General features: G+C 38.9%; 2 protein-coding genes, 1 non-coding gene and 2 pseudogenes across 6 annotated transcripts in view, besides 5 other annotated features; 4 read left to right on the top strand and 1 right to left on the bottom strand.

The window, feature by feature from the left end:
* Positions 796-915: an enhancer, noted in NCBI's record as "active region_27871". NCBI's record gives its function as "activates an Ori minimal core promoter by ATAC-STARR-seq in GM12878 lymphoblastoid cells {active_cell/tissue: GM12878}" and the evidence as "EXISTENCE:reporter gene assay evidence [ECO:0000049][PMID:35858748]".
* On the top strand, positions 891-27,976 carry ZHX1 (zinc fingers and homeoboxes 1). Of its 4 annotated transcripts, none has more exons than NR_037873.2 (4): positions 891-1,092; positions 9,046-9,159; positions 20,261-23,110; positions 26,112-27,976. NR_037873.2 is itself a non-coding variant. In NM_007222.5 (4 exons), the coding sequence occupies exon 3, from the start codon at positions 20,486-20,488 to the stop codon at positions 23,105-23,107; it is 2,622 nt and encodes an 873-aa protein (NP_009153.3). In that variant the 5' UTR covers positions 2,146-2,215; positions 9,046-9,159; positions 20,261-20,485; the 3' UTR covers positions 23,108-23,110; positions 26,112-27,976. The 4 variants fall into 4 exon arrangements, 2 of the variants coding, with proteins under 2 accessions (NP_009153.3, NP_001017926.1); NM_007222.5 differs by lacking the exon at positions 891-1,092 and adding an exon at positions 2,146-2,215; NM_001017926.3 differs by lacking the exon at positions 891-1,092 and adding an exon at positions 2,146-2,310.
* Positions 1,396-2,085: a silencer, noted in NCBI's record as "silent region_19497". NCBI's record gives its function as "represses an Ori minimal core promoter by ATAC-STARR-seq in GM12878 lymphoblastoid cells {active_cell/tissue: GM12878}" and the evidence as "EXISTENCE:reporter gene assay evidence [ECO:0000049][PMID:35858748]".
* Positions 2,146-27,976, top strand: part of ZHX1-C8orf76 (ZHX1-C8orf76 readthrough) — a 48,096-nt gene continuing 22,265 nt past the window's right edge. The window contains exons 1-2 of the mRNA NM_001204180.2: positions 2,146-2,215; positions 9,046-9,159. Of these exons, the coding sequence (NP_001191109.1) occupies positions 9,139-9,159 (21 nt within the window). The 5' untranslated portion in view covers positions 2,146-2,215; positions 9,046-9,138. The remainder of the gene's footprint in view (positions 2,216-9,045; positions 9,160-27,976) is intronic.
* Positions 2,286-2,485: a silencer, noted in NCBI's record as "silent region_19496". NCBI's record gives its function as "represses an Ori minimal core promoter by ATAC-STARR-seq in GM12878 lymphoblastoid cells {active_cell/tissue: GM12878}" and the evidence as "EXISTENCE:reporter gene assay evidence [ECO:0000049][PMID:35858748]".
* Positions 2,522-2,889: a silencer, noted in NCBI's record as "fragment chr8:124285783-124286150 (GRCh37/hg19 assembly coordinates)". NCBI's record gives its function as "represses an EF-1alpha promoter that drives an FKBP-Casp9 reporter gene in an ReSE screen in HepG2 liver carcinoma cells {active_cell/tissue: HepG2}" and the evidence as "EXISTENCE:reporter gene assay evidence [ECO:0000049][PMID:32094911]".
* Positions 9,687-9,790, top strand: LOC124902080 (small nucleolar RNA U13). Its single transcript, XR_007061211.1, has one exon. It is a non-coding gene; the product is annotated as a small nucleolar RNA U13 (small nucleolar RNA).
* Positions 13,483-13,589, bottom strand: RNU6-628P (RNA, U6 small nuclear 628, pseudogene; annotated as a pseudogene).
* On the top strand, positions 17,875-17,947 carry TRF-GAA12-1 (tRNA-Phe (anticodon GAA) 12-1; annotated as a pseudogene).
* Positions 25,178-25,387: an enhancer, noted in NCBI's record as "active region_27870". NCBI's record gives its function as "activates an Ori minimal core promoter by ATAC-STARR-seq in GM12878 lymphoblastoid cells {active_cell/tissue: GM12878}" and the evidence as "EXISTENCE:reporter gene assay evidence [ECO:0000049][PMID:35858748]".

The raw sequence follows: 27,976 nt of genomic DNA, 5'->3' as shown, positions 1-27,976 counted from the left end.
CAGTGAGCCGAAATCGCACCATTTCACTCCAGCCTGGGCAACAGAGCGAGACTCCGTCTCAAAAACAACAACAACAACAACAACAAAAGAAAACTTGTCATTAACTGTGTAGACAAAAGAATGAATTTCTCTATTTGAAGCATTTCCAGACCTCTTCCTCGGTCTAAAGAGGTTCCCAGCGAGGGCAGTACTGCCCCTCAGGGGCATACTGAAATTTTGCCGGGACAGTTTTTGTTTTGCATTCTATTGGTGGCAGAGTATTTACATTGTGAAAACTCTGTTATTTTAAAATTTTTCTTGATATTAGTACATACAGTATTTTATTATGAACTACTTTCTCCTTTTTCACCTTTATTAGAACATTACATTGGTTTCTTGAAATTATTTGTAGAGATAGTTTGCATTAGGAATTTAACTCCAGAAGAGTAAAGCAGTGTTATATTTTTTGTTGTAAATACAGGGCATTGAATGTGGCAGGGTTGAATACCTTTGCTTATAAAATTAAGCCTTATCCTACACAAGTTTTAGGATTCCAGGATGAAACCTACAAATAAAAAGAATATTGTAGAACACTGATTTCAACGATCAGATTCCACGGCCAGGCGCGGTGGCTCACTCCTGTAATCCCAATACTTTGGGAGGCCGAGGCTGGCGGATCACTTGAGTTCAGGGGTTCAAGACCAGCCTGGCCAACATGGCGAAACCCTGTCTCTACCAAAAATACAAAAATTACCCCGGCGTTAGGTGACGGGCCCCTGTAATCCCAACTACTCGGGAGGCTGAGGCAGGAGAATCGCTTGAACCCGGGAGGCAGAGGTTGCAGTGAGCAGAGATCGCGCCATTTCACTTCAGCCTAAGCGACAACGCGAGACTCCGTCTCAAAAAAAAAAAAAAAATCAGACTTCCACTTGAAGCAATTGCATCTTTTAGGATTAATGTGGCTCAGCGGAGCTCTGCTGTGCTTTTAGGATTACTGTGGCTCAGCGGAGCTCTGCACAAAGGGTCCGCGACTGGGATGGGGGTGGGGAGTGAACGTCAAGGGGCCCAGGAGCGCTCGAGCGTCCAAGGCCCGGCGTGTGGAGCAGCTGGAGGGTGAGTCGCCGCTCTCCGCTTTGGTTCTGTTCCTCCACGTTCTGACCGCGGTGCGGGGGAAAGGGAAAGTGAGTAGGGAGGGGCGGAGACGCCGGGCAGTGTTCCCGAAACCCCTGGCCCTCGCTGGCCCCGCTGCGGGGCTGGTTCCCTGAAAGCCGACGGGATGTGAAGCCCTCGACTCGGACAGAAGCCTCTGGAAGAGCGAGTGGCGGTTCGCAGGGAGGAGGGCGGCTGAGGGGCAGAGGGCGGCTCCGCCTTGCCCGGCGGTTCTGAGTGCAGCTGAACTGAACTTTCGGTGTCAGCGGGTGGAGCTGCGGCCCGCGGAGGAGCGGGGTCCGAAGCGAGGAGAGGTGGAGCTGCCGCTGACAAGGGGCGCGGCGACTTCTGTCAGGGCGCTGGGCTCCCGGCCGGACTCGCAGCAGCCCCCCGAGGGGCGGGGCCTGGGTCGTGTCGCCCCAGGGGATGGGCGTGTGATGACAAGGGGCGTTTCAGTAGAAGCCAGCATGCTTACCTCTCACGATCCAGCAGTGACATTAGGAAGGCGGAGCGCAAGGAAGGCGGGGCTGCCTTCTGTGCTGACCCGAGAGAAGACCAGGCTTCAGTCCACAGCGGGCGGAGCGGTCGCAGGCAAAGGGCGGGGCCATTTCGAGCCCTGGGAAGGCGGGGCGTCTCCTGACAGGGGGCGGAGCTTCCGCAGTCTGGGGCGGGGCTTCTGTTGACAGGGGGGCGGGGCGCCTCCCTACCTCCCGCGGTGCGCCAATCCCCGGACTAGGGGCCGGGGTCGGACCCCAGTGGAGTAGCAGGGTCTGGGCGTGGAGAGCTCGGCGCCGCACGGGGTGGGGGCGCGCGGAGGACGCGCGCGCGGGAGGGCCCCGCCTTGGCCGGCTCTCTCCCTTCCCCCTCCGCCCCCGGACGGCCGCTGGGGCGCGCGCCTCTCCTCGCACCCCCACCCTGAGTCCCCACACTCCGCGGGGCCACCGAGCTGCTGAGGCCCCTTTGCGGGCCCGCCGAGCGGTTCCGGGTTTAGGGTTCACAGGTCAGAGTTGACTCCCTGAAAAGTGCAGCCGGTTTGAAATGCAAGATGGCGGCGGCGTGGCGCTGAGAGGCGCGGCGGCCCCTGCAGGTAGTGGCGCGAGCCGGCTCCGCGACCAGCGGGCCCGGAGACTCTGGGCTGCGGGTGGGAACTGGAGCGCAGAGTCCGCGGCCGGCACGGGAAAGGCGAGTAGCGCGGGGCCTGGCGGGAGGAGGGCAGCCTCACAGCAGAGACCCCTGGGGCTGAGCCCGCTCGCGGCGGCGGGTGGCGGGGTGGACCCGGCGTGGGGCGTCCGAGGGGGAGGGACGGGGCCTGCCTCGCGGCTGGGTAGTCGCCGCAGAGGGACAGACAGACCCACAGCCTCCCTCGCTCTTTTTGGGTGTCTCCGCCACCGAAAGAGCTTGGGGGCGGGGGGCTCTCTGGAGGGAACATCTCAGCCCCCTGCCTTGGTGAGGACCCAGCAACTTAGGATTGTTGAGAGGAGTGAAGACTGCGTATTCCCAGCGGAGGGCGCCGCCGGAGGGAGCACCCCAGTAATGTTGGGAGTCCTAGAGGAGGTCAGGAGCGCTGTCCTCCGGGGGCGTGTGGCTGCCTCGTGGGGGACCCAGTCTCCCTGAGAGTAAGGAGAGATTCTCTTGCTGGAGCTGAGCGCACTGACTGAGGTTGGAGCCCCAGCAAACCCTTCAGGAGAAGTCTTTACCTCCAGTTCAAGGAAGGCTATGCGCACCCGTTTCGGGGCCAGGCCATGTCCCAACTTTGGGAAAGACTGGGAGTTGAGTCCTTAAGAACCATATTACGATTGTGACGAAGCCCTGGGATTTAGGGAGAAGTTAATTAAAGAGGATGGTAGGGGCGTGGGGGTGTGGGGGCTGACCCATGGGAATCCTCCAAGCCTTAGGGCCCACAGTGAACAATCTACTAATACCTCAAGGGGTATAAAAGGCTGGGAAGGAGAGGTGTGAGAGGAACAAGGTCTAAGGGCAGGAAAGAAGAGCCCTGGCAGATCCCCTTTCCTTATATATTTACACCAAAGTTGGAGGTAAAGGGACTTGGCAATTCTTTGTTTTAGTACCTTTCCTGTCCTCTCTCCTCCGTGGGTAACTGTAAGGAAAGAGCATAGCCCCTGAGAAGGAAAAGATTCCATTTGATATCCTTAGCTTAGGTTAGTGAAGGATCCAGCAGCTGGGAAGGCGTCAATGAGAGACAGCAGGCGGGGGAATTAGAACAGAGACTAGGGATGAGAAAAGAGGAATACAGGGAAGATATCGGACAGAGCAGGAATTCCACAGCCCTTTTCTGTCAACTCAGCCCAGCTATTAGAAAAAAAAAAAAATGCGAAGAGCTAATATTTGAGAGAAAAATGTAAAGGCTGAGAGAGAAGTCGTGATGTGATTAGGTTGGGATTCCATGTAACTTAAGCAGTTCTCTTGGAGGTTAATGTGATAGCAGAAAAAGGAAAATCACAAAATTGGAAAATATACAGCGGTTCACGGTTAGGGAGGAAGAAGCAGTCTCCCCCCAGGAACAGTGAATATTTGGTTTGGGGTGTGTGTGTGTGTTGTGTGTATACATATATAAGAGCACTTTAGATTTGCTGGTGTTGGTCATTGTTTCTCAGTCTTTGTCTGAAAGCTTTAATTTGTGTTATATGGTGCTACATTAATTATCTTCGTTTCTGAAAAATTATTCTGAAAAAGTCATTTGTTTTTATGTCGGGAGCGAAGGTGAGCAGGAGTTGGTTTTAACAGGGAAATTGGCCCTAGTATACCCATCGATTATTTTAATTTCTAAAGTAGCAATTCTGACTCCTGATTTTAAGCAAAAGAAATGTGAGTGCTGCCAATGACAATAATGCGGTAACAGGACATAAAAGAAAAAGGGCTTTCATGAATATTTTTTTCCTTTTAGCTTTTCTCTCCTTTCCCAAAGCATGTTAAGGCTAAGCAGACTAATTTTATACAAAGTAAAATGTATAATCGTGGACCTTTTCGATATAAAATGATAGCATTTCAGTTATCAATGAATCTTTTTTGTTGAAGTACCTCTTCAGACGCCTTATTTGACAATCAGGATTAAAATGAGAAAGGGTAATACTTGGGTAACTGATGATAGTGATGATTCATAGAGATTTCTTGAACCATTCTTGTATTTTCGAAAGAGCTTTAACGTCTTCAATGGAAATGTTTTAAAGATACAGTTCAAATAGAAACTAGTTTAGAACTTTACATTTGGAACATTTTATGCACGTGTGCTGTTCTTTGGTTTCCTCAATGTTCATGTAGCTCTGGTTTTATATTCAATTCTGAACAGATTAGGCTGGGTGAACCAGAGAGGCATTAATGCCAGATGGTTTGAAAATATGCTAAATCCGAAAACATAAATGTGCCTGTGCTAGTGAACACTCATTAGTGGATTTCTTTCCTTTATAGCTAAGCTTATTATTTCACCGGATTTGGGGGGTAGTTCATGCATGATGTAGCAATTATTTCACCTTTAATGATAATTGTAAGTTCTTTTTTTTTCAATAATTGGGGACAAAGTTTTACAGTTATTAGCGAAATTAATAGCATAGGAGAGGTGGTTCATTTTGAAGATTTTTCTCCCTTTTGTATTATTATATTTTATATTAAGATGGAAAGGTTATATTATGATGTATTATATTTCTTATGCTAATTAAGCATAAAATGTGATATTTGAGACTTAGTTTGCTGTAAATTATAACTTAATACTTAAATGAAAATGCTTTTAAAATTATTAAAATGATCACAAATGTAGCTGAGGAAATAACCCTTTTATTTGTGTTGCAGCATTGTGGATTTGGGCCCAAAGACTTTACTTAAATAAACAGTGTTGAAAGTTCAGCACCTAGTTTTTAATCTAATATCATAGTCAGTGCAATTATTCAGAGAGATTTTTGGAATTATCTATTGTACTGTTTATGGTGCTAGCCAGTAATACACATTTTTTAAATCATTATAAATATTTATTTATGTTGTGATAAGCACATTTACTGTTAAGACTAAATTTTTTGAACTTAAAATCCTTTTAAATAATCCTACGTAGTTTCAAAAGTAAGTTATAGTTCTGTTTTTAAAACTGATACTATCTTTAGAATAAGAGCCAATGTTTCTATACTATTATTGATAAATTTTATTGTATCCTTGTTGCTCTGATATATTTGTAGTCATCAATAACCAGATTTGCATGACTAAAGTTGCTGACTTAGATTATTAATCAGAATATACATTTGAGTTTACATTTTGGAGATCTGCATTTTATACAGGATATTCTTAAAGTAAATATTAATATGTAACTTTGTATGTAGTTGCCAGGTTTTGATCTTAAAAGATACTTAATCTTGGCATTTTATACAATCAGTTTCCAACTTAAGAGGTAAGACTGTATACCTTTGGTCTAAACAAATGTGATGATATACTTTGTAAAATAAGTATATATGAGCAGTTTAAGAATTATGTTTATTCAAGGGAGCCAGTTGAATACATTTTTTTTTTTTTTTTTTTGAGACGGGGTCTCATTCTGTGGCCCAGGCTGGAGTGCAGTGGCATGATCATGGCTCACTGCACCCTCAAACTCCTGTGCTCAAGCGATCCTTTCTCCTCAGCCTCTTGAGTAGCTAGGACTACAGTCATGTGTCACCCACGCCCGGCTAATTTTTAATTTTTTTTTTTGTAGAGATAGGGTCTTACTGTGTTGCCCTAGCTGGTCTCAAACTCCTGGCCTCAAGCAATCCTTCTGCCTTGGCCTCCCAACATGCTGGGATTACAGGTGTGAGCCACTGCACTCAGCCAAATAAATCATTTTTAATGCAAGATTTTAATTTTCAGTTCTTAGTTTTAGATTTTAAAAAATATTATCAGAATTTATCTTAACAAAATTAAAATATCGAAGTCATAGCCATATCATATATTATTGTAAATAAAATAACTCTTTCATTAAATTTTGGTGATTTCCTATTTCTCAAGATTTCTAACTTCCTTTTTCCCCTTCTTAAAAGTCTTTTCCTTTTTTGTTTTTTAGTGAGAAATGAAAGAAGATAGGAGGTTCTGATATTTCTAAGCACTAAACTAATAATTATATTTTTCTTCTAAGTTTATTCTCTTTTACCATCAATATTCTTAAAAAGAAGTTTGTTAAAATTTTGCTAGACATGGGCTATACTTGGGAGTGGGGAAGATCATGAGAACAATTTCTCCTCGTTACTATGATAAAATTACTTATATCAGATGTTTGCTAGTTCTATGAAATACCCCTTAAATATGTCATACAGTAATGATTTATTTTGAAGCTAAGGTCAGAAAAAGTTTGTGGGGGGAGAGGTTAAATTTGATTGATTAGTATCTGCCTTTTGAAGCCAACTTGTTCCAGCATGATTTAATATGCTCAGAGGTATGAAATGGCAAATAAATTTTGTTGGTTGGTTGTTACCCAGATTCTTAAAGTATTTTATCACTTGTCAACAGTTAGCAAATTTTAAAGAAAGATTTCTTTGCTAACATTCATTGTGTTCTAAGTACCAAGGAATATTCCAGAAACTTTACACGTGTTACCTATTCCAATCCTCACAACAACCCTATTAAGTAAATAGTATCCTATTAATATTACCAGTCCCATTTATAGATGATGGGGCTGAGGCACAGATAGGCTAAGCCATTTTTCTAAAGTCACACAGCTAGTAAGTGGCATGCTGTATTTGAACCCAGTCTGTTCCAAATTCCAAGCTCTCAGTCTTTTTTTGTAATCCATCTACTACCAGAACAGCTTGTTCTGTTTTATTATATAATGTACATAGCTGAGATGAGCTCTTTAATTTTTGGAATTCACTCATACTAAATTAAGAAAAATACTTTGAATTAGATAGAAATGTTCTAAAGTAATCCCAGTATCAGGAACTTAAATAACATCAGGCAACTAGGATTTTCATTCAAAAGCACTGATGAGCTCATTTTTGCTCCTCTGGTATCCTGGTGCCTTTACATGTCTTGGCAGCTCTTCTCAAGAGACTCATTCGGTAAAATATCTTGCAATTACTGTGTGATTTTAAGAATGGATTGAAGTAGGTTACCAGATTCCTAAAGTATTAATAATTCATTTTGGAAAATAACCTTCCCTCTTTGGCAGCTGTTTCCTATCTTCTCTTCTAGTCCACATCCTGTAGATTGATGGCTAACGAGTGGCGGAACAAGGAGATACCAGGAAATGAAACTGTAGAGTCCCAGGCTACAGAGATAATAAGATGCTCCACTGGGCCTACCAGGAAAATGCTCTTTTGCTTTTCATGAAAATAGTGTACTTATTCAGCCTAAGTTTTAACCTAACCTAGAGGTATTTTACTAAAGGACTGGTGTATTTACATTATTTCTTGATGTGAGAAGTTTCTTCATAAACTTGTATGTAATAGTAGCAGGAATAAAAAAATAAGGTTAATTGGGAAAATACTCTTCCTTAATATTTATTCATTATAGTTTACAGAGAATAGTGCTTAAAGAATACAACAAAAGGCCGGTTAGGGATCATGCCTGTAATCCCAGCACTTTGGGAGGCCAAGGCGGGCAGATCACTTGAGCTCAGGAGATAGAGACCATCCTGGCCAACATGGTGAAACCCTGTCTCTACTAAAAATACAAAAATTAGTTGGGTGTGGTGGCGTGTGCCTGTAATCCCAGCTACTCGGGAGGCTGAGGCAGGAGAATCGCTTGAACCAGGGAGTCGGAGATTGCAGTGATTCGATATTGCGCCACTGCACTCCAGCTGGGCGACACAGTGAGACTCCATCTCAAAAAAAAAAGAATACAACCAAAATGCTTTAACCCTTCAAAAGTGTTATTTATGACTGTTCTAGTAAGAAAAGCAATTGTAGCTTTATTAAACTTTTCTGATGGGTTTAACTGATCTAGATTATATACAACAACATATTTGGACAGTAATTGAATTTTCAGAGAATTATTTTCTGTTTATTTGATTGCATGATGTTAATACTTCACAGTGCACTGATTGTAAAGCCATTTGGTAGTAGCTTTCAGGCAAAAACGACATGGCTAAACACCAGTCATTTTGTTAGATAACCCCATGTTTGTAGATCAAGTACTACTAGTTTGTTTAACTTGTTTTGGCTTGTGTTGTCAGCATTAATAATCCTCTCCATTCTGATTAACATAATAAATTAGGATACAAATATCACTAGGTTTATGTACTAACACATAAACATATACAACTACTCCCATTTCTTAGTTTAACTAAATTGTCTTCATAACCTTTGTATACTTATTTATTTATTTATTTATTTAGAGTCAGAGTTTCGCTCTTGTTGCCCAGACTGGGGTGCAATGGCGCAATCTCGGCTCACTGCAACCTCTGCCTCCCCGGTTCAAGCGATTCTCCTGCCTCAGCTTCCCGAGTAGCTGGGATTACAGGCATGCGCCACCACGCCCAGCTAATTTTGTATTTTTAGTAGAGACGGGGTTTCTCCTTGTTGGTCAGACTGGTCTCAAACTCCCAACCTCAGGTGATCCGCCGGCCTTGGCCTCCCGAAGTGCTGGGATTACAGGTGTGAGCCACCGCGCCCGGCCGGTATACTCATTTTAAAGAACTCCCAATTTCTGCATCTCAATTTTCACACTAGAGACGGCATATATTCACGTTTTGAAATTTTATTCAAAATGGTCTAATAGTTATTTAGTTGTTCTATATGATATAAATAGAGTTTTTTTAATGTGTAGTTTTTGTGTTTACTACCAATATTAGGATTGGTATTTAAATGGTTCTTTTAAAGTTTTGATGAGGGAATAAACTTTTTTTTTCAAAATTACATTTATTTATTAAAAGCTAAGGCATTAAATTGTAAAAATTTCCTGACTAAGGCTAAATTATATCTAGAATAATAAAATATGACTTTTTTGTAGGAGAAGACAGACTGCTGCTTTGGACCTGTTGGTAATGATGGCCTGAGCTAAACATCTAACTAGAAGGGATACCCTTCCATTTCAAAGAACAGAATGCTAAGGAAGCTGTGGCAAGTATGTGTTTCATTGTTTTGGTATGGTAAAACTCAGATACTGAATGTACTCACTTTAGATCCCATGATACTATATTTGTCTAAAGTTTTTAAAAGCTTTCCTTAAAAAGCAGCAGACATATGCTTAACACTTTTTTTTAATATACTTTCAAATTTTAAGAGCTATAAGTATAGGACTGCTTTAATTTAAAAGGAGACGGCATCATACTTCATAATAAATCTTGTATATTTATAATTGATTTTAAAATTAGTATTTGATAAAATCTGCTGTGTCAGGCACTATACCAAGTGCTGTGATAACAGAGGTAAACAAGACAAAATGTACCTTTGGTATGGGGAAATTGATCTAGAAATTTTGCTATGCTTTTGCCTATATCCAGAAAAATGCTTCAGGATGTACAAGAACAAATTCTGAAACTGTATTTTCAAAACGTAGGCTACTAATAATAGTTAATTATAAGAGTCAGGATATTAATTAAATACTCTTACTTATATTAACCATACCAAAACTTAAATATTTGAATATTGATCCTTTTGTAGTTCTTAAGTGTGATGATTGGGTTTTCATGCTTATGTGTGAAATGTGCCTTTCTCAAACCTTGTTATGACACTGGCACATTACCTGTGTGACGTAAAAAATATATATATATTTGAATGTATTTGTACATAATTGTTTTTATATTTTATCTGATTAATTAATTGGCTTTTATAAGAAGCATTTGTCCTATTGTTATTTTAGATGATTCCAGAAAATACTAGGAAAGATTTGATAAACATTAATGTGGCAGTTTTCATTTTTAAAAAATGGATAACAGAGTTCTTATAAGTTGATATTACCAATACTGATTACTATTATCTTTCAAAGTATTTTGAAAAATCAAATCATTATATCCTCAGTGAAGTGGGTAACAGTTACCTTACCATTATAAATAGGGAAGATAATGACCAGATGAATGGTTTTTCAGTCTTCAAAGGTAATCTCACTTGGAACTGAGAATAGCATTCTTGTGTTAGACTGGCTGTAAAAGACTTAACACACCTTCTTGAGAAAAGTAGGGAAAAATTGTTTTCAGTAGAAAATGACTTTTCGATCACATTCACAAACTCTTCACAAGATAAGAGATTTCATGATACTGCTAGTTTATATATCACTTTCAATGTATTACGTACTTACCTACCTACCTGCCAGCTGTGGGGAGAAAACTAGGATGTTAGTGTCCTAGGGAGAGACCTTTCAAAAAGACATTTCACTCCCGCAAATCTGTGGTCAGAGCTTGCCAGAAAAAAATCTGTCCGATTTGGATTCTTCTTTTAATCTTTAGTGTCATTAAGGTCTGCTTTCTCAGATGGAAAAAAACAGATAGAGAGGATAGGGTTTCTTACCTTTCAGCCTTAATTAGCATTAGCAAAGGTATCCTCTGACATTTGATTATCTTTGACCACAATTTCTTAGATGCTTTCACTTTTATTATTTTTATTCCTGTTTGTATATTCACTTTAATACTTGATTTTCTATTGTCTTGAGACTATTTTTTACAGTTTTCTTGAGACTTATCTCTCAGGTCATGATTGTAGGTTACCAGCAATCTTTAAAAACATTTGCTGTGGATGTAAATTTGTGTTGTCAAATTCCTAATTTAATTTTTTAAGAACTTGATGTTTCTAAATGTTTTAACATTTTATTTTTATTTTTACATTTTAACTTTGAAAATACCTTAATTGTATAAAATCACCTTTATTTTTTTTAACACGGTGGATACCTTTTGTTTTAATATGACCTAATTCTTTGTTTGTACTGTTTAGGCATTCCGTGATTTTTGTGGATTTGTAACTTCTAGTTGAATACAAACGTGTTAAAGTATTTTCAGCTGGCTAAACAGAACTCTTGACTCAGAGAGAAGTGAAACTAAATAGAATACAGAGTCCCAAACATTCTCGGTATATATACAAATGCAGATTCCAAGGGATTCTCAGTGTGTATATTTTTGCTACCTAAGAACAGTTTTATTTTTGATGCTACATCAAAATTAACATGATCCCTAAAAACTATAGTATCTTCTAAATGCTCTTTTTTTTTTTTTTTTGAGACAGAGTTGTGCTCTTATCATCCAGGCTGGAGTGCAATGGCGCAATCTCGGCTTACTGCAACCTTCTTCTCCCAGGTTCAAGCGATTCTCCTGCCTCAACCTCCCGAGTAGCTGGAATTATAAGTGCACGCCACGACGCCGGGCTAATTTTTGTATTTTTAGTAGAGACAGGGTTTCACCATGTTGGCCAGGCTGGTCTCAAACTCCTGACCTCAGGTGATCCACCCGCCTCGGCCTCCCAAAGTGCTGGGATTACATGCGTGAGCCACCTCACTCAGCCCTAAATGCTCTTATTTGACCCAGAATTGTTGTAAAAAACAAAGTTTGTGGCCAGGCACAGTGGGTCATGCCTGTAATCCCAGCACTTTGGGAGGCCGAGGCGGGTGGATTATGATGTCAGGAGTTCAAGACCAGCCTGGACAAGATGGTGAAACCCCGTCTCTACTAAAAAAAATACAAAAATTAGCCAGGCGTGGTGGCGGGCGCCTGTAATCCCAACTACTTGGGAGGCTGAGGCAGAGAATTGCTTGAACCTGGGAGGCGGCGGTTGCAGTGAGCCGAGATTGCCCCAGTGCACTCCAGCCTGGGCAACAGAGTGGGACTCCGTCTCAAGAAAAAAAAGTTTGTTTTTATTCATGTAAAATCTTACCAAATAGCATGCTTTTGTGGCTAACCAGGCCAACATATTGTTATCTGTTAATCATTTAATTTGAAGTCCAAACAGCCAGAAAAACCAGAAGCTTGCAAATTCAGTGCAGTTGTGGCTCTGTTTAATTATAAAATATTTTAGACTTTTTTTTAGTAGTGGGTAAGCATAGAATTTGAAACAATCCACTAACTTCTTATAGTGTATTACATTGAGGACTTATTTTTAATCTTTTTTAAAATGTAGTAGAACACTGTTAAAGTATAGTTTTCTCATAAAACAGAGAAGTAATGATTCTAAGTGCAAATTTGCATTTGCTGTCTTTATAATAACTATACCCTTTTCTCCTGAATTTCACTGCCAAAATCATTCTTTGAATGTTTTATCTCCCTTGTTTTACTCTTAATTCACAGATTTAAATATACTCAATTCATATATAAAACTGATGTATTACAATGACATTTTAGATGTTAGTAAATGTTTATTGAATGTTCATTGCTGTACTTTAGTAAATAGAATGTTTTAGATTCAAGGGTGTTTTAATATTCATGACTAAGGTAATTTTTATTAAGAATTTTACCATCGAAAGTAATCTATAGTAAATCAAGCACAATTGTTTTTATAGCTCTTCTATAAATGAGTGTTTAATGAAGTAAAATGTATGTAATAATACATAGTATAGTTATATTTAAAGATTTTTTTTTTTTGAGACGGAGTCTTCTTCTGTCGCCCAGGCTGGAGTGCAGTGGCGCGATCTCGGCTCACTGCAACCTCTGCCTCCTGGGTTCAAGTGATTCTCCTGCCTCAGTCTCCCAAGCAGCTGGGATTACAGGCACCCATCACCACACTCAGCTAATTTTTGTATTTTTTTAGTAGAGGCAGGGTTTTACCACGTTGACCAGGTTGGTCTCGAACTTCTGACCTCAATTGATCTGCCCACTTTGGCCTCCCAAAGTGCTGGAATTACAGATGTGAGCCACCATGCCTGGCCTAAAGATACTTTTTAGCAAACATTATTGGGGTCCTAATAAGTATTTTGTTGGGCCCTGGGAATATAGTGGATAGCTAAGTAGATACTCTTTCTGATCATAAAAGAAGAACTTGAATAAGAACTCTCAAACTTTTTAGATTGTGATAAAACACATTTTGCTTTCATTAAATGCTTTTCTGTAGAGAACTATTACCTGTAAAATTGTAAAAATTGTAATTGTTTTGATGAGTTCAGAATCATAAGTTGATTGATGGGTATCCTACCCTCAGGAGAAGATCCAGTATACAGATAGATCTACGGAAACTGGCTAGTCTAGATCTACACCCTGGAGATTGTGTTTGAGTGGTCTTGAGAGCTCTTAGAGCCAATCTGACTTCTCAGAGCTCCAAAAACTATACCTGAATGCTACATACTGAGGGATTCTTGCTTCCCTGGAAAATCCTTTTTTTTTTTTTTTTTTTACTTTGATATTTCCTTCCTTCCTTCTTCCAAGCCTCCCTTCCCCTCCACTCCTCTCCCCTCCCCTTCCCGCTTCTCTTCCTTCTCTTTCTTCCTTCCTTCCTACTTTCCTCTCTTCCTCCCTCCCTCCCTTTCTTTTCTTTCTTTTTTTTTTTTTAAACAAATTTGCATGTCATCCTTGCCCAAGGGCCATGCTAATCTTCTCCGCATGGTTCCAATTTTAGTATTTGTGCTGTGGAAGCCAGCACTGGAAAATCCTTTATGTAGCCATGTTTTTTGCCTTAATAATAGAAAAGAAACCTTGTTTCCAGCTTGACCGTAGAAAGATTGGTCATAAACTGGCCATAGAAATATTTTAGTCTATTTGCAATTTTAGGGTCTTGAAGCTGTTGTTTGTTGTACTTTATAATAAAGCAATGTGATAACAATATTAAAGAAAATTTGTAGGCTAGGCAGGATAGCTCATGCCTGTAATCCCAACACAGGGAGGCAGAGGTGGGAAGATTACTTGAGCCCAAGAGTTCAAGACCAGCCTGGGCAACGTAACGGGACTCTGTTCTCCCTAAAAAGGAAAAAAACAAAGCAAAAGAAAAAGAAAACTTGTGAATATCACACATAAAAATGTCACCCATAATCTCGTGAAATTTTCATTTTTTTACATACTCTCATTTCATCTTTGTTCACATGCATACATATTTCCTCACAGTTATTATAATTATATGCAAATTTTCTGAGTTTTAAAAAATTTAATAGTAAATGGGTAGTTTTTCCATATTCCTTAATTACTCTTAAGATTATCAATTTTAATGGCAGTATAGCAATTAAATTAATTTGATCAGTTTTCTAAAAACACTTCCCGTACTGAAAAGTTAACTGAAAGCAGTTTTGAAAAGTAATTACATTTACAGTGCTGGATGCATTGACAGCATACTTTTTTTTATTGGCCAACTTAATTTTAATTGTGTTTTAATTGCAGAGTCACCTAGCTACTGAGTTGTGCAACTGACCTCTAACCTCTTTTTATAGGTAAATAGTGCAAGCTTCCCCAAATTGATTTTGAGCCCTATTTTTAGTTGACCTTCAAATAGAGGATGTGATGCCTTCAGCTAATAGTGATTTCTATACAGCAATTTTCCTGTCCCAGTCCCATTGCACTTTAATGACAAAGGGAGATGAATAGGAACGACATCCTAGAAATTCTTATTCTGTATTTTTACTTTTACTTTTTCATCCAATTTTTGTGCATTTTCAGCTGATTAAGTTGCTAAAAAAAAGTGAGAGAATTTATAATATTAAAAAATGTTATTTTTTTCTGGAAAGAATTTTTCAGGGACTGAAAATAGCATCAATTAGGCACCTGTTTTGTATCAAAGTAAGTGAAGGAAGCATTTTTACTTCCTCTGATGTGGATACTACTATTTCTTTTTCCCCCAGGGAAGCCTTCTCTGCTTCTTTTCTAGAAGCCTCCTGCAGTGTACTGATATCTTTCTTACTGCACTGATCATAGTTATTCTAAGTAATTGTTTACTGCTTGCTTTCCTTGCTTCACTGCTGGTACCTGAAAAACCAGAGACTGCCTGTCTTGGTCACCATTGCATCATTATTGCCTTTCATGTGGTTGACATTCAACAAATTTGTTGAATTGAAGAATCTTGAGAAAATTGAGGTTGAATTGAATAGCTCTTCCAGGCACCTAACTACTAATTGACAGAGGTGACTGCAAAACCTGTGGCTTTACCCTATTCACAATGACTTTATGAATTAATTACTCTGGGCCTGGGATTCTTCTTCCATAAAAATGGGGCAGTTGTACTAAGATTAAGATCCTTGTTTCCTCCAAACTTATGACTTTATAATAATAATTCCGAGGATACCTTTGTTTGCCCTTTGGTCTATTTTTAGACTATACACATTATGCAGAATTGAGCTTTTGGACCAAATCTTGAAACTCTTTTGGGACTTCTCAGTCTCTTTTTAGAAATATGTTAAATAATACACTGACCTTACTTTTGTTAGCAAAATCATGGGGACCTGACAGTGGATTATAGCAAGCAAATAGTCTTTTTTTTGAGACAGAGTCTCTCTCTGTCACCCAGGCTGGAATGCAGTGGTGCGATCTTGGCTCACTGCATCCTCCACCTCCCGGATTCAAGTGATTCTCCTGCCTCAGCCTCCTGAGTAGCTGGGATTACAGGCGCCCACCACCATGCCCAGCTAATTTTTGTATTTTTAGTAGAGATGGGGTTTCACCATGTTGGCCAGGCTGGTCTCGAACTCCTGACCTCAAGTGATGCACCGCGCCCCTGCCAGCTTCCCAAAGTGCTGGGGTTACAGGCATGAGCCACTGCACCTGTCCTCTCAAGATGAGTTTTCAAATTTCATGGCTGAGCAATGGCTCAATGAGAGGAGGATTTTTGATGAAACTGATATATTGTCTTGAGATCTCTCTCTATATATATATGTGGGGTTTTTTTTGTTTTTTGTTTTTTTTTTGAGATGGAGTGTTGCTCTGTTGCCCAGGCTGGAGTGCAGTGGTTTGATCTCGGCTCACTGCAACCTCCACCTCCCGAGTTCAAGTGATTCTCCTGCCTCAGCCTTCCGAGTAGCGGGATTACAGGTGCACGCCACCACGCCCGGCTAACTTTTATATTTTTAGTAGAGACGGGATTTCACCATGTTGGCCAGCCTGGTCTCAAACTCCCGACCTCAAGTGATCCATCCTTCTCAGCCTCCCAAAGTGCTAGGATTACAGGCGCACCCAGCCGATATGTTTAAGTTTTAAGCAAAAGGCTTTTAAACACATCTCAGAACCCCTGAAAGGTGGAAGTGGGGATTGTAAGATTCGTGGAATTTGGTCAGAGAGTAGTTTAGCCTCTGCCTCCTCCAACCAGATAGCTCTTCTTTTTTTCTTTTCTTTCTTTTTTTCTTTTTTTGAGACAGAGTCTCGCTCTGTCACCCAGGCTGGAGTGCAGTGGCTTGATCTTGGCTCACTGCAACCTCCACCTCCCGAGTTCAAGTGATTATTCTGCCTCAGCCTTCCGAGTAGCTGGGATTACAGGCGCTCGCCACCACACCTGTACGGCTAACTTTTGTATTTTTAGTAGAGACGGGGTTTCACTGTTGGCTAGGATGGTTGATCTCCTGACCTTGTGATCCACTGGCCTCGGCCTCCCAAAGTGCTGGGATTAAAGGCGTGAGCCACTGTGCCTGGCCGATGGCTTCTCTTTTATCTGTTTTGACCTGGGATTTCTCATAGCATTTTGTTTGATGAAAGGGCTCCCCTGCTTAAAACAAAAAGTTTGAAAACCACCACTTTGAGGAAAAAGTTTCAGAAAGAAACCCTCTTGCCTTCCAACTATTATTATACCCCAATTAAATATAGTCTCTCTCAGATTCCAGGAAAGTAACAGTCACAAAATAGGTTACTCCTCTGCCTTTCAACAATTCCCTTTACTGTTCAAAATATGAGTGCTGCTCATTTATTACTCTTCCACTTACTATTTTTTTTAGAAACAGTATCTTACCATGTTGCCCAGTCTTGAACTCGTAGACTCAGGGAATCTTCCTGCCTTAGCTTCCTGAATAGCTGGATTACAGATGTGTACCACCATGTCTGGACCACTTATTTGGAGCCATTTAAGGAATTCCCTGTTTCTAATGACAAAAAATGATCAAACATCTGTGTTGATACTTGAAAAAAAAAATGGCAACCCCTATTTGATTAAAAGATAACATTGGCTTAGTTTATAACATTTGGTTAAGAAATAGTTGTAAATATCAGTGATTTCTTTATAATATCTTAGAAATCAAGAGTGTTTTAAAGAAAAAAAGAATGACATCTTTGAGAGTAGGGATCTGGATTATTAATACCACTATTATTTTTAAACTGATGCTCTTTATTTGGTAATATGGGAAATTAGGGAACAAAGGACATTTAGTCCAATTTTCCTTCTGCTACTTGGATGTGTAGTCTGTATTTGAATAATTCCAGTGAGGAGGATTTTACCGTCCTTCAAAGTCAGGATATTCTCTCTTAGGACTGCTCTCTTTCCTAAAAATGTCTCTCCATTTACTGACTAGATGTATTGTCTCATAGGGACCTGGTTTTGCTTAATAATTTTTGAAGCAAACTCTCTTCTTCTCCATTCAGCTGGGATGCCAGTAAATTAAAAATAGCTCTAATTTGTGGTGAAGAATAAATGAAATCACTTACCCATTTTATTCGTTTTCAGTTGGATTAGACTTCAGAAACACAAACTTTACTTAGCATAAAACTTTTTATTTTAAAAATTTTAGGTATAAAATTTATTTAAATATATTTTATGATCCTAATTCATTTTTTCTTGATTATTTAAAGTTATTATTGTGAATTTCAGATACTGTTCTCTATGGTGATGCCTCCTGCAGGTCCTGTTGAGTTTTGTAGGACTATTTTCCTCTTCATTCTAGTCAATTTAATAAACATTGAGTGATTACCTCCCTAAATTCAGGCTTCTTATATGCACTTGGGAATGCAACATTAATGAGATGTCAGCCAAAATAGCTCAGCTGGGAGAGTATTAGGTTGAAGATACAAAGTTCCTTGGCTCAATCCAGAGTTTGGGGGACTTTGTTTTATCTCAAAAAAGCTGTGTCTCAGTCTCTTTGTGTTCCTATAAAGGAATACCCAGAGCTAGGTAATTTAGAAAGATAAAGGGTTTCTTTGGTTCACAGTTCTGCAGACTGTACAAGAAGCATGGCTCCAGCATCTGCTGCTGGTGATGGCCTCAGGCAGCTTCCACTCATGACAGAAGATGATGGGGAATGCATGTGGGCAGAGATCACATGGCAAGAAAGGAAGCAAGAGAGACAGTGGGGAGGTGCCAGGCTCTTCCTAACAACCAGCTCCTGCAGGAACTGGTAGAGCGAGAACTCACTCATTACCACATGGACAGCACCAAACTGTTGATGAGGGATCTGACCCCATGACCCAGACACCTCCTATTAGGCTCTGCCTCCAAGATTGGGGATCGAATTTCAACATGAGATTTGAAGGGATCAAACATCCAAATTATAGCAAGCTGTTATTAAAAATGAGACACAATATCTAGAGTAAGGAGACCACAGATATGGATGGTGGTGCAGGGACAGAAATGTAACATTACTCTGCCATGTACAGTATGGTAAGTACTAGACTAGAAAATAAACGGGAGGAAATGGGACCAAATGAAAGGGAGAAGGTGATCTCTAGTAGGGGTCCCCAACCCCTGTGCCATGGACCAGTACCAATCCATGACCTGTTAGGAACTGGGCCGCACAGCAGAAGGTGAGAGGTAGGCAAGCAAGCATTACCACCTGAACTCTGCCTTCTGTTAGATGAGCAGCAGCATTAGATTCTCATAGGAGCACAACCCTATTGTGACTGTGCATGCGAGGGCTCTAGGTTGCGCACTCCCTGTGAGAATCTAATGCCAGATCTGAGGTGGAAGAGTTTCATCCCAAAACCATCTCATCCCCTCGCACCGCGGTATGTGGAAAAATGGTCTTCCATGAGACCAGTCCCTGGTGCCAAAAAGGTTGAGGACTGCTGTCCTAGAGGGCACACAGATCAACACATCAAGTGTCCTAACCTAAGGAAGGGCCTGAGTAAGGGTCTGAAAGTGCATTGAATGTCTGTGGAATGGCAGCCATTTCTGGTATACCTAAAGCATAAGGAAACAGGAGGAAGGAAAGTGAGGTTAGACTAGGTTGTGAAAGGGATTATATGTCCCACAAGGAGTTTGAACTTTATTCCTTCAACATTAGGAACCTGTGTCAGGAGACTGATGTGATTAGATCTGCTTTATAACTTTTGGTAGCATTGTGGCAAGTGCTAAGAATAATGTTTCTGGTAGGCCAGGCACGGTGGCTCATGCCTGTAATCCCAGCACTTTTGGAGGCCAAAGCGGACAGATCACCTGAGGTCAGGAGTTCGAGTCCAGCCTGGCCAACGTGGTGAAACCCCATCTCTACTAAAACTACAAAAATTAGCCAGGCGTGGTGGCAAGCGCCTGTAATCCCAGCTACTCAGGAGGCTAAGGTAAGAGAATCATTTGAACCCAGGAGGTAGAGGTCACAGTGAGCCAAGATTGCGCCACTGCACTCCAGCCTGGGTGGCAGAGTGAGACTCTGTCTCAAAAAATAATAATAATAATAATAATGTTTCTGAAACTTTGATCATTCATCCTCCATCTTTGCTATTTTTGCCATACTTGAAGCATGCTTTTGGCTGATGAGATAGACCAGTAGGAAGAAGAGGACATAACTAATGAACTAATGGATTAAATTTCTTGTCTTTTTTTTTTTTTTGAGATGGAGTCTCACTCTGTTGCCCAGGTTGGAATGTAGTGGCATGATCTTGGCTTACAGCAATCTCTGCCTCCTGGGTTCAAGCGATTCTCCTACCTCAGCCTCTGGAGAAGCTGGGACTACAGGCACCTGCCACCACGCCTGGCTAATTTTTGTGTTTTTAGTAGAGACGGAGTTTCACCATGTTGGCCAGGCTGAATTTCTTACACACTTAATGGCCATAATATTTTAGTATCTGTGAATGCTTTTTATAGTGTTAAAGTTCCTCCTTGTTAACATTGCCATTTCACATTAATAATAGTGTGCTTGCCAAAGCAGGCCCTTTCCCCCTTGTCTTCTAATATATAGCTGGCTAAAAAATTTAAATGAATAAGCTTGTGTCTGACCCAAGGTAAAGTACTTAACATTCAATGAGTTGGCCTGGAGAGATTTATTTTGATCTTTAGAGGACATTTTTTTCTGATTCTTATCTTATTCTAGATCTTTGTAACTGAGCTATCCAGCCACTTCATATAAGTGAACTATAACTATAATTTGTTTAAAAGATCATAGTTACTCATTTTAAAACATTTTAAAATTTATTTTAATGTAGGTGATTGGAGTTGTGCTTCAAAAATTTCAGAAATTCAGCAGTATTTTATCTGCCAACAATAAGCTCTTTACTTGATTGCACCATGAGAAAGCTGCTAATGAGACTTGTTGAGCACAAAAATGGACTTGAAGAACCAAAAGCCATTGTTTTCAAATGAAGAACACTGAACAGTTTTAAGCCTCGATGCTTTTTAATCACCACTGAGCTTTTCCTCATAACATCAGAATGGCAAGCAGGCGAAAATCAACAACACCTTGCATGGTCCTTGCCAGTGAACAAGATCCAGACCTTGAGTTGATATCAGATTTGGATGAAGGTCCTCCTGTGCTTACACCTGTAGAAAACACCAGAGCAGAGAGTATCTCAAGTGATGAAGAGGTTCATGAATCTGTGGATTCAGACAATCAGCAAAATAAAAAAGTTGAAGGTGGATATGAATGTAAATATTGTACTTTTCAAACTCCAGATCTAAATATGTTTACTTTTCATGTGGATTCGGAACATCCCAATGTAGTGCTAAATTCATCCTATGTTTGTGTCGAATGCAATTTTCTTACCAAAAGGTATGATGCACTTTCTGAGCATAATCTGAAATATCACCCAGGAGAAGAGAATTTTAAGTTGACTATGGTGAAACGTAATAACCAGACAATCTTTGAACAAACAATAAATGATCTGACTTTTGATGGTAGTTTTGTTAAAGAGGAGAATGCAGAGCAAGCAGAATCTACAGAAGTTTCTTCTTCGGGAATATCTATCAGTAAAACTCCTATCATGAAAATGATGAAAAATAAAGTGGAAAATAAACGGATTGCAGTTCATCATAACTCAGTTGAGGACGTTCCTGAAGAGAAAGAGAATGAAATCAAACCAGACCGTGAAGAAATTGTAGAAAATCCAAGTTCTTCAGCTTCTGAATCTAATACAAGTACTTCCATTGTAAACAGAATACATCCAAGTACTGCCAGCACGGTAGTGACACCAGCAGCAGTTCTTCCTGGATTGGCACAGGTGATAACTGCTGTATCTGCTCAGCAGAATTCTAATTTGATTCCCAAAGTCTTAATCCCTGTTAATAGCATTCCCACCTACAATGCTGCATTGGATAACAATCCCCTTTTACTTAACACCTACAACAAGTTCCCTTACCCAACAATGTCAGAAATTACAGTTCTTTCTGCTCAAGCAAAATATACAGAGGAACAGATCAAGATATGGTTTTCAGCCCAACGTTTAAAACATGGTGTTAGTTGGACTCCCGAGGAAGTAGAGGAGGCAAGAAGGAAACAATTCAATGGAACAGTGCATACTGTACCTCAGACCATAACTGTTATTCCTACACACATTTCCACAGGGAGTAATGGTTTACCATCTATTTTACAGACATGCCAAATAGTTGGTCAGCCTGGTCTGGTCCTTACTCAAGTGGCTGGAACAAACACCTTGCCAGTTACAGCACCTATAGCCTTGACAGTGGCAGGCGTTCCAAGTCAAAATAATATACAGAAAAGTCAGGTACCTGCTGCTCAGCCTACTGCAGAAACAAAGCCAGCAACAGCAGCAGTTCCAACTTCTCAAAGTGTCAAACATGAAACTGCATTGGTAAACCCTGATTCATTTGGCATTCGGGCAAAAAAGACAAAAGAGCAACTGGCAGAATTAAAAGTTAGCTACCTTAAAAATCAGTTTCCCCATGATTCAGAAATTATCAGACTTATGAAAATAACAGGCCTGACGAAAGGAGAGATTAAAAAATGGTTTAGTGACACAAGGTACAACCAGAGAAATTCAAAGAGTAATCAGTGCTTACATCTCAACAATGATTCCTCTACCACCATTATTATAGACTCCAGTGATGAAACCACGGAATCCCCAACTGTTGGTACTGCACAGCCTAAGCAATCCTGGAATCCTTTTCCTGACTTTACTCCCCAAAAGTTTAAAGAGAAAACTGCAGAGCAGCTTCGTGTCCTTCAGGCAAGTTTTCTCAACAGCTCTGTACTTACAGATGAAGAATTAAATAGGTTAAGGGCACAAACCAAACTTACCAGAAGAGAAATCGATGCTTGGTTTACAGAGAAGAAGAAATCAAAAGCTTTAAAGGAAGAGAAAATGGAAATAGATGAAAGTAATGCAGGTAGTTCCAAAGAAGAAGCTGGAGAAACTTCTCCTGCAGATGAATCTGGTGCACCTAAGTCAGGGAGTACAGGCAAGATATGTAAAAAAACACCTGAGCAGCTGCACATGCTTAAGAGTGCATTTGTCCGGACACAGTGGCCATCACCAGAAGAGTATGACAAGTTGGCCAAAGAAAGCGGGCTTGCTAGAACAGACATAGTTAGTTGGTTTGGGGACACCCGTTATGCTTGGAAGAATGGAAACTTGAAATGGTACTACTACTATCAGAGCGCCAATTCAAGTAGTATGAATGGTCTGTCTTCCCTTAGGAAAAGAGGGAGAGGGAGACCCAAAGGACGGGGAAGAGGAAGACCGCGTGGGCGGCCTAGAGGAAGCAAAAGAATTAACAACTGGGACAGGGGACCATCACTCATAAAATTTAAAACTGGAACTGCAATACTTAAGGATTATTACCTGAAGCACAAGTTTCTTAATGAGCAAGACCTTGATGAACTTGTTAACAAATCACATATGGGCTATGAGCAGGTCAGAGAGTGGTTTGCAGAAAGACAGAGAAGATCAGAATTAGGTATAGAATTATTTGAGGAAAATGAGGAGGAAGATGAAGTTATTGATGACCAGGAAGAGGATGAAGAAGAAACAGATGATAGTGACACTTGGGAACCTCCACGACATGTGAAACGGAAGCTGTCTAAATCAGATGACTGAAATGTAAGTTAAGAAAATTTTTAATCTGCGTATATGTTCATCAACCACATACATTTTGAACAGTCACCTTGTTGTATCAGTCATCTTCATTTTTGATATTTTCTGAAGTAGTTTTTCTTTTCCCTAATAAGACTAGGTACCACTAGTATAGCTAAGAGATAAATGATTATCATGTGTAGTTTTATTATTATTATGTAGAGTTTAATGTCTTAATTATTATTTTTCATATGAATTGGGTTTTTTTTACTTTGTTTTGAAGGAAAGTTACCCAATCTCTATGAAGGGAGACTGGCAGGCAGGTTGAGGGGATTCACAAACAAATACTAAAGATAACTAAAATGTATTTTATTGCAATGCCCCCTTCACTAAAGCTTCATTTTTTGCCTATTTAAGGAAATAATTCAAAAATGAAAACTAAAAAGAAGGGGAAAAGTACACCAAAGGAAAGACTTACCACAGGGTTGAGGATTGTGCAGTTTTAGGAAACTAGGTGAAAATGGGTATCTTTTCATCTTCATTGCATTGCTCCCAAAACTTTACTAGACTTTTAACTAGAGTTTAAAATGCTTTATGTATTTATGAAATTACTCAGTATCTTTTTAGTAATTTATAAAATTACTCAATATCTTTTTCTGTTAAAAGTCAAAGGTCTGTTTTAGGCCATATATAAATTCATGTTTGCTTAGGCGGCATCTGTCTTTGAAAACTGTGATATAAATTATTTCTGTTTTAGAGATCAAAAGGCAAATAACAGATTTGATATAAACCCAATTGCTTAAAATATCTTTTCATTCTTTGGTATAAAACAAACCTGCTACCAGCACTAACATTGTATTTGATTTAAAGTATATCTCTGTAGTCTTAAAAATGCAAATAAATATGGCTTAAATTTGAAAGGTTTTGGCATGTTCCTTAAATCTTAGTTCTTTTATAAATTGGATTAATTAAAGTTGAACTGTAGTTGCAAATCAGATACCTGCTTTGGAGTTAGGAATTGAATTCTTAATACTTCTGGAATTTAATAACATAGTTTTATTCTTTGCTATTCTTTGTTTTGGAGTGTTCCGGGGTAAAAGTACACTGTTTTGAAAACAATGCAGTTGTCATGAAATGTTTGTGTATGTCTGTCAGTAGTCCAAATAGCATCTTGCTATCAGAAATGACTGCTGTGTTCAAACAGTAAGGAAGGAAATGAGACGTAGACCCTCATTATTATTTTATACGTGAGCATGCTTACTTATTTCCTTGGCTTTTTGCATGAGTATCCCATCCCCTACTTTTATGCTCTGTTATTCTGTGCAGTTTTTCCTTAATTCCCTTACATCTTCTCTCTGGTTTTATTTATTTTAACAATTATTTATAGAGAGCTTAATATGTACCAGGCACTATTCTTACTGCTTGGCAATCCTTTTTCAGGTTTTCTCCTTGTTAATATTTTTTAAGGGATAACAGATGAAACTAAAAATGTACCTGTTTTAATAAGCAGTATAAATATCATTCCAGGTTATAGGGTATAATGTAATCATTTTAGGTTATAAGAAGTTAAACAGTTTCATACAGCTTTATCCTGAAGTGCAGCCCTCCATTTCCTAATGTCAGAAATCTTCAGAGCAGGCTTTCTTCTGACCCAGATACATAAAATATTTTTAACAGGCATTTTTTTTATTGCTAAACACAAGAATGTGCACTCAGCCAAGATTAAATCAACAAATTTGTTGCTGCAGTGAATGTTGTTGTTGTAACCTCTGCAATGATTTTTTTGGGGAGTTGCAGTCTTCCAAAAATAATGTGAATTTTTCTGTACAGTTTAGTTTGACCTTTAATTTTGTATAGATAATTCTTATGTTATATATTAACACTGTAATGGATACTAATTCTGGTCAGAAAATTCATCCTAAAACTACAGTTTTCAAAAGACTGTATGATGTATGCTATACATGCACTGTATTAGTCCATTTTCACACTGCTATAAAGAACGACCTGAGACTGGGTAATTTATGAAGAAAAGAGGTTTAGTTGACTCACAGTTTTGCCGGCTTAACAAGAAGCATGACTGGGAGGCCCCAAGAAACTTACAGTCATGGCAGAAGGCGAAGGGGAAGAAGGGGAAGCAAGCACATCTCACCATGACCGAACAGGAGAGAGAGCGAAAGGGGATGTTCCACACAACTTTCAAACAACCAGATCTCCTGAGAACTCACTCACTATCATGAGAACAGCCAGAGGGGAAGTCCACCCCCATGATTCAGTCACCTCCCACCAGGCTCCCTCCCCCGACACTCCCTGATTAAAAGTTATGTATGGGCTTATACAATTTCAAATGTAAAAACAGCCTATTTACATATGTTGAAACAATAAGATTTTGTGGTATCACTGTCCCTTAATAATTACAATTCAAGGTAAGATTTGGATGGGGACACAGAGCCAAACCATATTATATACTTTTGTGATAGCATAGAAGCATGCCTTTTTAAATACACAAAAGTCTAAATTTCTGAAACATCAAGTTATCCTTGGCTGAGTAAAATAATTTTTCACTTATAAGAGGATTCACCATAGCCTTCTCTAAATAGTTATTTCTTCATTTAAATATTGTTCAATTTACCAAAAAAGTTACCAAAACCTTCCCAAAATAGTTATTACAGGAAGTGAGGTACATATATATCTTTTGCACCTTGTATAGAAATAGAAAAAAGTACAAGTCTTTAGATTTCATAGTCTGCTTATTACAGATACTGACAATGAAATATATACTCCCTGCTCATACAGTTTGAAATAAATTATTACATAAAGATGATAAATGTTTATAAGCAAATCTAGCATATGAAGAACATATACATAGATGAGTTGCACACAAAGCCTAGTGTATTATGGAAGACATATGTGGCAGGTAATCTCAAGAGAATACAAAAGATGTATTTTCACTTTTATTTCTAAAAGTAGTAAAAATTAAAATATGGTTTTCTTTAAATTTTCAGTTTTTTATGATGTTTTTCTTTTTTAGCTGCCTAAAACGTTGAAGGAGAATCAATTCTTCAACTCAAGATGTCTGATTTACTGTGAATTTGCCCAATCTTTGATGACATTGAAAACGTTTTGGGGCATACACACTCAAAAAGCAGGATCCAATACCCAAAAGAAATGGAACTTAATGTTGTGCCAAAGTTAAACTACTGCAGTTGGTGGAAGTTCTGCAATGTAAATAGAACACTAATTAAAAAACAACTTGTAAAAATGCAATTTAAATTTTAATACAGTACATTTTTCTTCTAATATGATGGAGACATTCTGAATCTTAGACTTTCTGAGGGGGTTTAATGACCACTAGAGCTTGTCCTCATATTCAGTCCAGTTTAATACTGTATGTCTAGTAAGATGGGCTATATATTGCCTCTATTCTTTGAGATGTGATTAAGCTTAGAACTTTGACCAAAAATTTTACAGTAAAAATTGTTAGAAATGGGTAAAAAAAAAAAAAAAAAAAAAACCCTGATTTATTACTATGTCTTATTTATCAGACCCTGCACTAAGATTAAAAGTTGTGCATGGGCTTATACAATTTCAAATGTAAAAACAGCCTATTTATATATGTTGAAACAATAAGATTTTATGGTTTCACTGGCCCTTAATAATTGGATCCTTCATTAAACACATCCATGAATACCACTGTTTCTACTGTTACTTGTTCCATTAGAAGCTGATTTGCTTTTTATTAAACTGCAGGAAATTAATTCTGAAGAAGGAAAAGAAACTGACATGGTAATTTGGATAGGGTGAAGCTTTGAAATAAATACTGCACCAAAAATGTGAAAAAGAATCACGTAGTAAATGTATACTTAGTGTTTTCTTACAATCGTGGAAATCAGAAATGTTTATACAGGTGTCAGATCAGAATTTTTAAGAGTTATCTTTCAGTGAAATTTTATAACAGTTTCAGTGAATAGAGAAAAAATTCTGAACTGATCATAATGAGTTAAAAGTTAGCTTTTCACTTATGAATCATGGGAGTGTTAACTGTTAACTCTTGCCGTATCAGGAGACTGAAAGTTCATACTAATTTACAAACTTTGTAAAGACTGGTGCTGTTCATTCATATTGGGAAGAACCCTTTCTTTTGTGACCATAGGACCATTTTTCAAAATGCGCTTTCTTCGTAGAAGAAATGTTCAGTTTAATTAGCTTTGGATTTTAACATGTTTTTCTGAATGACCAGATGTAGGCTTAGCCAGTTTATTTTCTCTAATTTAATGGATAATAAATATTAAGCTCTTGGTTAAATGTTTTTCAGCCATTGAAAATGTTATGAAAAAGCCTTGAATATGCATGCTGCTTTCATTTTTATAAACTTTTTATTTTTTAACTATAGCTTTATTAGTAATTCCAAAATGCTGCAATGTAGCTGATTTCCTCACTCAGACAGCTGGCTTTGTGGGTGGCTTTTTTCATACTACTGTTAACTTTTTTAAAAAAGAAGCAATGTAAAGACCGTAATGCACTAAGCTTTTTTTTTTTCTTTTACACGTTTAAAAACTTCTTAAAGCACTCTGTAATATAATGATTAAATTGCTCCCTTTTATAAACATTGCTAATGTGGTCTGAGTTTTGTTTGACAATAATTTTAATGTTCTCAAAATTTGAAATGTCAAGTATTAGAAATGAAGCCTTTGAATATAGTTGTTTCCCTTGCAATATGTTAACTCTGTGTAGCTGTATATAACTATTAATTTCCCTCATCTCTTTTATAGGCCTGATAAAACTCTTCTCTGACGTTTGCTAGCTTTTAAATATATTTATTTGACAGAGCAAAAGAACCCTCTTCTGGTTGATTGTGACCTTGAATACAAAATAAAAGTAGTGATTAGTAGTTTA

This window comes from Homo sapiens, chromosome 8, assembly GCF_000001405.40.
Source record: "Homo sapiens chromosome 8, GRCh38.p14 Primary Assembly".
NCBI lineage: Eukaryota > Metazoa > Chordata > Mammalia > Primates > Hominidae > Homo > Homo sapiens.
The sequence above is the reverse complement of the archived record's forward strand: the minus strand, read 5'-3'. Positions and strand labels throughout refer to the sequence as shown.

Coding starts and splice junctions, on each gene's coding strand:
- ZHX1 (NM_007222.5), top strand. CDS start 20,486: ATGGCAAGCAGGCGAAAATCAACAACACCTTGCATGGTCCTTGCCAGT.